Here is a 10975-nt window from a genome sequence, read left to right as displayed (position 1 = left end):
GCTACTGGCTGCATACCCCTGCAGTAAGTGGCCATTGCCAGCTGTGTTTTTAAGTTTTCAGTCTAGTTTTATAATTCTCTCTCTTTTGTCAGCATCTACTAGTTATAACTTTATACTTTGCAAGCTTTTTGTGCTGTGTACTAGGAATCCAGATAACTAATATTTTACAATTTTCTCTTAAATGGGCTTTGAATGATGGTCCAAGGGTCTCTCTTATAAAATGAATTGGCTTTGTGAGAGTTATTTTCTTTATGGCCATCAGTTTTATGGCTGTTGATGTAAGCGGGGGCACTGGCTATGTATTATAATGTGGAAGAGTTGATAACAAGGTACTATGGCTTGGAAAGTCTCTAAGCAGAATGATCTACATGTCTAAAATGAGATTTTCATAAAAATTTTATTTTGCATTTTTAAATAATTCAATGCATTGGCAGTATAGTTAATGCCTCTATGAGAGAAACCAACGCACCAGCTCAGCCAATATCATTTTTACAGAGACATCTTGTTGGAAAACAACAAAACCACATTAAAATGTTTGTACACAGAGTTACTGTACTGAGAACAAAGCACCAACAAAACGCTTGTGCGCCACACATTTGAAATGCAAAGCCACACAGGCAGATATAGTTTTATACACATAAAGCACATGAAACCAGCTTTTAAAAACCAGATAACATTTCATTAATTGATTGATTTTAGAACAGTTTACCCTGGTCTGTACAGGAAATTGGAACTTACTGAAATTCTGACAAGACGAGCATGCTTGTTAAGAACAGTGACAGTTGGTGGATCTGCAATGAGCATGAATGTTGGAAATCTGCACCCAAGAAAAGGTGGTTCAGAAGACTAATTGGATTCTCATAAAGCCAAGGGGGCACTTTCTGAATGATCATCACAATTTAATGGCCACCTGGGGTGCCCTTGGGGAAAGGGTCTTCCTTTGGGGACAGGACGTCAGGAAGTTTTCTTCATAGGAGCCAGGCAGGCTGTTCCTGATGGTTCTGCTCCTCTACTTACTTGGGAGGGAGCATAGGCCAGGCACGGGCCCCAGGGTTTTAGACTGCAGCTTGGAGCAAGTCAACTTCAACACTGAGGGCTCAACTCAGCTCATGTTCTCCAGTTGAGGTGGCCTCCATCTTCCCTCTCATGCATCTTGACCTACTACAATTTCCTCTTGGAAACTCAATTGGATTTTAACAGAGCCTTTTTCATCACAAAGTCCGGTGGAATCCGTTTAATTGAACCATGATATTATGACCAAAGCTTCCAAGAGGAAAGGAATTTTCATTTCAAATCACTGCCTTCATATAGTAATGTAACCAGGGCCTCCTGGAACTGTAAAATAATGTTTTTCAAGAAGGGAAAGCTAAAATCCCATGAAGGACAGCAAGCTAGACATGTTGCACATGCAGGGACACACACACGCACGTGTGTGCGCGCACACACACACACACACACACACTGACGATGTGTACTCTTTGTGCAGTTATGGCTTGCCACAATGGTCCAGCGACATGGTGTTGGTAAGCATCCCCACACACAAAGCATATGATGACAATTAAATTCCCATTTGTGTCCCAGTTACTCAATAAATATTTTCTATGACACTTAAATATACAAAATTTCTGTTTAAAATATGCATGAAAATGTCCTTTTTTTTCCAGGAAGAAGAGAAAGGTTATAGAGTCACATCTTCATTTACAACATGTTGGGATTATCTTTCTGATTCTTATATACAGGCTAATGGGAATGTTAGGAAATACTTCATATGAGTACACGAGACGTGAATGTGCCTGTTAGATACAAAGCAAACACACACGCTATAGACCAGGCAGAAGACACCCCTGACAACTCTCAGGGGTATTTTGCAAGTCTCAGTCAATTTACCTACTGGAAAAATAGGTGGAGTCATTTGTTAAACTGCATTAGGTCTCAGAGGATATTATTAAAGTGCTCTTTTGAAAAAACTACCTCTATCCTTTTCATTTATCACTGTGGGGTGTGAAAGGGCCCAATGAACATGGAGCATTCTTTGAAAACCCATCGATATTTGCCCAGATTTCATTCCTAGCATATAGCCTGGTCTAATGCAGATTTATCAAAGACTCCAGATTTCAATATTTTAATGAGGGGTGATGGACAGAGGGAAGGAGGAAAGAATAGAGGAGAGAGAGAGAGAGGGGGAGAGAGAGAGAGACCATTGCAATCAAAATATTTCTTCAGTCAATGATAACAACCCCCCCATCGAAAAATAATGGAAAAGGAAAAGGAGAAATGAAAAAAAAAAGATAAACCTAAAAAGTCTTGACTGAAGTACTATGGGAAATTTTTTGAAGAGGTTTTTTTCATATTTATAATGGTTACAGAAACATCTGAAGATGTTTGTAATTGCCAGGCCTCCAACTAAAGTTGATTGAAAAATCCTGATATAACACTGTCTCATCTGCCTGCAACCACTCCACTTGCTCCAGAATTATGTATCAAAGGTCAAAACACTGCTCCACAAAGTTATACAATTGGACAAATGAATTCAACAGACTAATATTTATACTGCCATGTAATAATGCAGTTATATTATCACGATTTCATAATACAGCATGCCTTTCCAGGGGGCATGTTTTAAATCAGGACACATCTATTTTTATTAATCTGTTATGTTTTGAAAGTATGAACAAGTACAATTCAGAAGCTCACATTTAATTTAACTATTTGTTTGGAAAGAGAAAGAACACTAGCAGGAAAGCAAAAGCCAGAGCCAGAGAGAGAGAGAGACAAGTAACAACAACCATCACAGCCACAGATACAACCACTACCACCACCAGAAAAGAAAATAAACCAATCTCTTCTTTGCAGGATCCAAAGAATATATCACTCATCTAACCAAGTGGGCAAAAGGGGAGAATTTTAGGTATCTTCTGATCCCAAAGAGGATTTCTGAGCATGGTATCTCTAAAAGGCTCACTACTGACATTCATTTTATCAAAGACAACACTACAGCAAACAATCTTCAGAAGCACTACTCAGAATAGGAGTAGAAACAGTAATTTGTTATATTGAGTAAATGTGAGGGATTTTATCTCAGACATTTCTCTTTCTAAAATATCCAGTAAGTAGAATCATCCAGGAAGAAAATTAAGTATTTGACAAATTGTCTTGAGATGGAATCAATCTCATTTGTAATATTTATGGGTGAATATGATTGATTAGTGAGGATGGTTTTGAATTAGGGGATGCACTGGATGATGTTAAACACATTTCTAGCTCTTTGTAGCTGTGAAAACTGGTCCACTGTCTGGTGTGGTGACGGGGGTGCTCAGAGTCCCTGTGTAAGTGTAATGCCAATTAAATCAGACCCGGATGTTACCATTTTCCAGTAAGGACAAATATTGTAGCAATACCATGAAAGGATAGACCCCCAGTCCCTGCTATCGTGCCAGCTACAAAAAGAATTGCAGAGGCAAAAGACAGAAGGGCCAGAAAGAGCGAGTAAGACATGGATCTCCTCCAGGGCTAACATTCAACCATGGATACAGGCCCAGAGAGAAAATGGAAATTTTTTTTTGAAAAATAAGATTTTAGAACAAGTTCTTCCATCTTTCCAGATACAAACCTCTTATTAACTGCAGAAGATGCACAGGACCAGGAGAATGAATTCTTTGAGATTTTCTATTCTACTTTCAAAATGATTTATGTGTGGAGGCCTAATTTAAAAATTTAAAAAGTGTATGTGTGTGTGTGTGAGTGTGTGTGTGTGTGTATTTAATGAAAGCCTCATTATATACTTTAGTTTATGCCTTCTTGTTACTGAGCTTAGTTTTCTTCGTACTGGGTGGAAAAAGAATTATTTTGGTTTGGATTATTGTTTCTGAATAGTCATGCAATTGATACAGAGATATTCTGGTTTGAGTTCAGAGCTAAAACAGTAAGTAGATACTTTTAACTAAAAACAAATGTTAACAAAAAACTTAGATTCCCTAATAACTAAAGTAAAATTCTTATGAACAACAATGTGAAGGTGGGAGAATTACTGAGTTTCCACGTCACATAAAAGAAAAACACAGTAAATTCTGGATTGTGCTATTCTCCATAGAGTTCCCGTAAATACTTTATCCTAGTTACATGTAAAAGTTACAAATAGCATTTGTAAATCAAAATAATGATGACAATAATAATAAAATAAAAAACACTCACTTATCTTTTTAAAAAATCAATCGTGAGGGTTTTCTGAGTGCCCATTTTACCTGTGAGATATGGAAGGAGATGATGGAACCATCTCCATTGATCCATCTCTCCTTTCAGCTCAGGAGGGCTTCATTCTTCTCAGCTATTCTCCTGCTTAAAACCTAGGCTTCCAGGGCAACCCATACCTCTAGGGCCTTATCATAAGCTTTCTACATTCACACATTGATTCATATCTTAAAACTATGTAATTGTTTTAGTCATCGAAGTGTGTGTGTAAGGGTGAGTTTGTGTGTGTGTGTCTGTGTGTGTCCACATGAACACATATATTAAATATGAACCCTCTGACTGGCTGCATCCAGTGGCGTGTTGAAGCATTTTTGCCCAGGCTTGCAAGAGCCAACTGCGTGCATCTCTTTCCAACCATGTGTTCAGTGACATCACAGTTGGTAGCTTAAAATCATCTAAAGTGGTAGTATTTATGCCATGGAAATTGGCAAATGGTGCAAACCAGGTGCTTTCTATTCTCAGCGAGCTGGTTGTTAAACATTTTACCAGCACACCACTGGTTGCATGCTAGGCTGACCAAATGAGAAGCTAGATCTTGTTCTGGGCAACACGGCATTAACTTAGCCTCGTTGGAGTGTCTCCAATTTTGCTTACTGTCCAGGGTCTCCTTCCTCCCAATTTCATAAACACTGCAGAACCACAACAGGGCTTGAGCATCTGGGGTGCATTTGACTACCCATTGTCACCACATTGGGCTCTATTCTCAGAGACACTTTCGTAGCCACATGAGTGATGCAGGACAAAACCAAAAAGGTAAAGCATCTGAAATTCCCTCCGAATATGACAGCTGGCTTCCTGCTGCAGAGACTGGAGAACAATGAGTTCCCCAATAGGAACAAACTATTCCCAGCTGAAAGCATCAGCTGGGGCATTCTTCAGGAGGCTTCCCACAGCTGGTCTGCATGCTGCTGCTCACCAGCAACTGCTGGCAGGCAGGCGAGCTTGAGCTTGCTACTGCAGCATCCTGTCAGGGGCCTGGACGTAGGCTTCCTTCACTTCCCCCTTCCCTCCTCAAAGTCTGATACAAATCACAGAGCCAACAAAATTGAGGTCACTGGCAAAAGAGTTTGAAATTTTGAATGATTTTTATTAAACACCATTAGTCTACACTGCACAGTTAATGAAACAGCAAAGCTCCAATCTCTTAGAAGAATGATGACTGATCATGGATCTAAAAAGCAGTTCAGTGTCCCCTAACCCAATGTGAGCACTATGAATAATTCTTTAACATCTCATGTCAGACGCAAAAAGGGGCAAGAACTGCAATCTGGCTTTGTGGGGCTTCCCCACCCCCCACCCCCCCGCCCCCACCCCCACCCCCTTTCTGCCCTCCCCACAATGCAATTTTCTTTTAGCTGGTAGATTACAGAGTAAAATGTGATGATTTTGGTAAAGAGGGCTTCTATATTTCTGAGGAGGAGGATGGAAAGAGAATTAATACTTTTTCCTTCACCAAAAATATCAGATGGTAGGATTAATGTCTGAGACCGGCCTATCTGATTAGTCTCCTGCCAGGGTAAATGCTGATTATGAATACACAGATGCCACTTCTGTTGTTGGAGTCTACTAACACTAAAGAGAAAATGAATTAGATTTTAATTATGAGAATAAGGCCGTGCGAGTGAAAATGAGAAACAACAACAACAATAACAACAACGATGAAGAATTTAGTCTGCCAGTCATGTAACAGAACACTGACAACTGGCTCAATAATTTTTCCCCACAGAATTAAATTTGGGGGTGCTGAATTGACCCATTCATTTGATACTGTGTAGCTGTATCATCTTGCCACACATTTTTCTCAATGGGGATAGTGATGCTTCTCTAAGCAAGCAGTTCATTGCTTTACTGAGTAGTCTTACCCAGTGATCCAGTTTGGTTCTCCCACCTGCCAACTCATGCAGGTGAATTTTATCATGTCTGTTGAGAAGTATGTGAGGCTTCACCCTCACAACTCAACTGATTCTGCCTTCAAAGATATTTTCCAACCTCAAACTCCAACTTCAACCTCCGGGATGCAAATTTGCATGAAACAGAATCCAAATTAGATATCTTTGGGAAAGATATGCTAGAAGAGTATCTTTCCAATGCAGACAAAATCTAATGAATTTAGTGATGTAATGTCCAAATGAAAATTCATCCATTTGGAAACTCAACAAAACACATTTTTAGCCAATGGTTTCTAATTTTGCAACTTGCTTTTTGCCTGAAGATTTTGGTCTTTTCATTTCCTTACATGGAAAAAAAGGCATCCCGACCTTAAGTCTTTTAAAAGTAGTAGCAGCTAATCTGCTTTTCCAATTATGTCATCCAAATATAAAACTACTAGTATTTTCCCAATGAGATTATTAAGTAATTAACAGTCTACAGGCTGGCTAACAACATGCTTACAGCTAAATTCTACCCGGAGGACCACACTAGTAAACCCTTTTCAAAGTAATCCTACCTACCAAACTCAGACAGTTATATGACAAAACCACTAAAAATCCAAAGTTAATTAAAAATACAAAGCCAAGCCAACATCATAACACAAACTTGTCAAACTCTCTGTGGTTGGAGCTTGGGTGACAAGTGAAGGCGTAGTGGTGGCCCTACCTGGGTCAAGTTGCAGGGCTGAGATCATTTGGTGTACTTGCTCAGATGGAGCTTCCTTTTACTCTGCCCTCTATTCTAACCTCCACGTGCTTATTTAAGTGTGTCTCACCAAGCCTCCATCAAGATCTAGAGGCACGATCTCTCACTGCCATCCACATGTCTCATATCCCTCCCACAAACTGGTATACTGAAGAGATTCATTTGACAGAATATCTCCATCCCTTAGTCCCTCAAATAGCTGCACACCTACGACACGCATCACCATTTACACTGTGATGAACAGAGTAACTATAAAACAGCAACAATCCTTAATCATGAAACTGAAAGATGTCTTATCTCAAGGGATAGGAAGGTAATTCATCCTCCATGTTTAATTAGTTCCTAAGCTGCTTTATAAATGAGTCTACTACATAATCAAGTGGTGATCCAGAGCTCGATTGTCAGATTTGGTCACTGTGCTGCAGACTTGGCACATATTTTACACTCAGTCACCAGAGATGACAGAGAATCCTCTTGCCTCCCTGTTGTATGTAAGTAGATATAACAAGTCACTGAAACTAGAACTACAAGTCTTTCATCCATGAGGCAATATGCTTGTTTCTCTGGGAAACTGCCTCAACATTCTAATGTCTAGTTTCTGGATGTGGGATTTCAAGAAGAATCTACTCCTAAATCCATGATGGTCTAGGATTGTGGTTTAGGTTGAACTTACAAGTCAAGCCAGTGGGCTTCATTATATAGTAATAGCCAGGCACTCTACCTGGTAAACCATGATAAAGAGACAACTTGAGTCACTGCAAAGTCATCAGCTTAATTTTTATATGTGACACCAACCTTGGGTGTTCAGAGTCTTTAATGTTATCATCATTTTCCTCTTTTAAGAGGCTCAGAAAAGATTCTTTCAGGTTTCATTTGTGAGTGTTTGGATGCATAAGTGTTGTTGCTGAGACTGTAAACATAAAGCTCAACCACAGTGGGAGCATAAAAAGTGCTGGGTTCAGCTGCAGGGATGCTCCCATCAGCCATATTAACAACATGGCTTCAGCCATTGGAGTACAACTTCCACAGCCTTATACAACAAAAGGCCTTAAACTCAAAGATGACCAGAGCACAGCTCAAGTCTGGCTGTTTTGCAACTGGGGATATATCTAACCTTGACAATGAGAGTGCAGAGTCATCACCTGCTGTTTCTATCATGGACCTGCATGGCTGGCTTTAATAATCACACAAGTTTGCATCTTTCATGTGCATATCTATTATTTATCTGGTCATAACTCAGTGAACAGAATTTGATAACCCAGCATATTAAAGGCTACATGGAATTATATACCAGCAGGTAATTACCAGTAAGTAATGCATGGATAGTGTTTACCCCAAGTGTAAGAATCTTCTGGTGAGCTGGAACATCAAAAATGATATTTACATTGTGATGTTTAGGGACATAAAATGAATGTGAAGGATCATAAGGGGGTAGTCACAACCAGTGAGAAATGTCTCCAAATTAGGTGAATGGTTCCCAATGTTTAGGGCTCTTTCAAAGCATCTCAAGGTGAAGCACTACCCCACGACTCATTTTAAAAAAATAAAAGTTAGCTACTATTTAGAGAGTTTGGAGTTTTCTTAGAAATTTTCATGGAAATGATTCACAATAATATGGACTTTAATAAAAGGAGTAATTGTAATTCAGTCAAAAGTTAATGAGCCAAACAAAGGAAAGGGAAACACAGATAAGAGAAAAAAGAAAGTAGAAAACAGAAAACCTATAAGAGAGAAAATGTGAATAATAATTGAGGAAGTCCAGATTTTCAAGCCACTAGGAAGAAAACTGTATATCATTACTTCTAGGTAGTGATACCTTGACTTTTGTTCCCATAGATTTGAGCAAAATACAATTTAAAAATCCTGCCAGTTATGGACCCACTTACCAACTGTGTAAATGTTGTTGTTGCAAAGGAGGCAGAGGTGTGAATTCCTTGTTGGACACTTTCCAGACCTCTCTTAACTCCCACTTGTAAGTCTAGAGTGTAGCATTTTGGCTACTAAGGCATGCATCAACCAAACTGTTCTTCAAAAGGACAGCTTTGCACACAGAGAACCCCAGGTGAGGATTTACACTTCAAATAATGGAGTTGAAAAACACTGATGCCAGCTGATGCCTAAAACTTGTCAAAATAAATGTCACCCTTTCTTCTTATCATTAAAATTAACAAAATAGGGAATCAGGAAAGGGATGCTAACAAGAAAGTCCTCTGGTTGTGTGGCATAGCATCTTTTTAAGAGTAGCATTGCTATGCTCATTTATTTTCTTGATACTCTTGATTTTATGATGTTGCTACAACATCTAACCAGTGGGTTTTGACAATGAAAATTCTCACCTGAAGATTGAATCTGTGGGATACACAAAAGTTTGACAGATTCTGAAATATGTTCTTTTCTGGGTATAAGAGTAGAGTTTGGGGGATGGTCCCTTGTGTCTAAGTTCTCATGTATATGTAAGACCACTTGTTGCATTTCTCAGGAGCCTGTCTTTATCACAAGTGCTTCCCATTCTTTGTTTTGGGTAGTGTGGGCTTAAAACAATATTGTAGGGACTGTCATTCCATAAAGCACAAAAAGATGGTGGAATCTGAGAAATGCATATCAAATGCTAAAAGAAAAAAAATGACTAAGTAATAAAACGTACACTGCCCTTAAGTTGTAGTGTCAACTTACAATGACTTCTGTTTTTTACAGATAACAAAAGAAGCATAAAAACAAACATAACCAAAGAGAACGTTCCCCAGTGAGTGGAGTTCCACCAGTGACCATCAGTGCGCTGGTAGAGGTAGAGTGATGGGTCGTGATGCTAGAGATCTGAGAACACCCACTACAACAAGTGGGCATCGATGCGCAGCCAACACAGTCCTTGGCGAACGTAGCGGACAAGATTGGTCATGCTGCTGTGCTGGGTCAGAGGCCCCATCAGCGTGTCCAGATCACCAAAGAATTCTGAAAAGCAGAGCAGTTCTCAGTTAGGCCTTTATATGATATCATGAAAATATGCACCACATTGAGAAGCTGCTTTCACACAACACCACAACCACATGGACAATGGAAATGTGATTCATTTGTCCATTCATTCATTCAACAAACATTTATAGAGTGCCTACTAGGAGACCAAAACTCCACAAGTTTATCAAGCCCTATTATTTTAATCTTTAGTGAGCTCCAAAAACTCTGCAGTACATAATACATTTATGTTTTCATAGATTATACATTTATATTTAGAAAAGGGTATTTCTACACAAAATTGTAGGGAGCCATGGTCTATCTAATGTCAAGCTGTTTGTCATTCAATGTGTTAATGAATTGAAAATATCCTCTTTTCCTTTTGTCTAAATGAACCGAGTTTACTGAGTTTTCTTGGCATGGTCTAGACAAGGCCCATGAATCTGGACATTAATAGTAGCCGTCAGCCTCCACAGCTAAATAAACATCTAGGAGGAATTTGATTCTGTAAGTCTTCTTACCAATTTCATTGGGGATGGAAAATGGCCTGCAAGTATCTGTCACTTAACAACTTTTCCAGCCCCTGACCTAGGACATTAATGGTAAGAATGCCCAGCTGATTTCCCCTTGGTTCACTTAGGGAAGGGGGCAGCCCTGAGGCTACACTACTAACTAGCGCGACTGGAGTTTTGGAACGTCTGCCTTAGGCGATAGAAGTACTATGTGGGAAAAACTATATGATCTCTAAAAACTAGCTAGGTGTTCCCTTTTCATGTACGAATTCATTTGCCTGGCACTTAGTTATGAGAGAGCTCTCTGGCAAAGGAAGCAGCCTCAGCTATGTGCTGGCTGGCAGCAAGGAATCCGTGTCAGGGGGTGGGGTGAGGGGATAGGACTGGAGACTGCCCTAACGTGGGATGCTCTCCTGCCTTCTTGGAAAGTGATTTCCATGCATGGGTTACATGTGCTTGATTGCTCAGCAGATGGAATTTCATCAAACAATGCATTTACTCTTCATGTTATATATAACATATGGGATCCTTCTCTAGGTGTCAACCTCATTTGATTATATGATACTTTTTAACCTGTACTATGCAATAAAATAATTTCTGCTGATAAAAGAGTAAATTATTTCTGGCATCTA

General features: G+C 39.4%; 1 protein-coding gene across 6 annotated transcripts in view; it reads right to left on the bottom strand.

The window, feature by feature from the left end:
• Window positions 379-10975, bottom strand: part of AFF2 (ALF transcription elongation factor 2) — a 500047-nt gene continuing 489450 nt past the window's right edge. For all 6 annotated transcript variants that reach the window (NM_002025.4, NM_001169124.2, NM_001169123.2 and 3 more), the window contains one exon: window positions 379-9831. In NM_002025.4, coding sequence (NP_002016.2) covers window positions 9710-9831 — 122 coding nt within the window. In that variant the 3' untranslated portion in view covers window positions 379-9709. The remainder of the gene's footprint in view (window positions 9832-10975) is intronic.

The sequence above is a fragment of the Homo sapiens genome, chromosome X, assembly GCF_000001405.40.
Source record: "Homo sapiens chromosome X, GRCh38.p14 Primary Assembly".
Classification (NCBI taxonomy): Eukaryota; Metazoa; Chordata; class Mammalia; order Primates; family Hominidae; genus Homo; species Homo sapiens.
The sequence above is the reverse complement of the archived record's forward strand: the minus strand, read 5'-3'. Positions and strand labels throughout refer to the sequence as shown.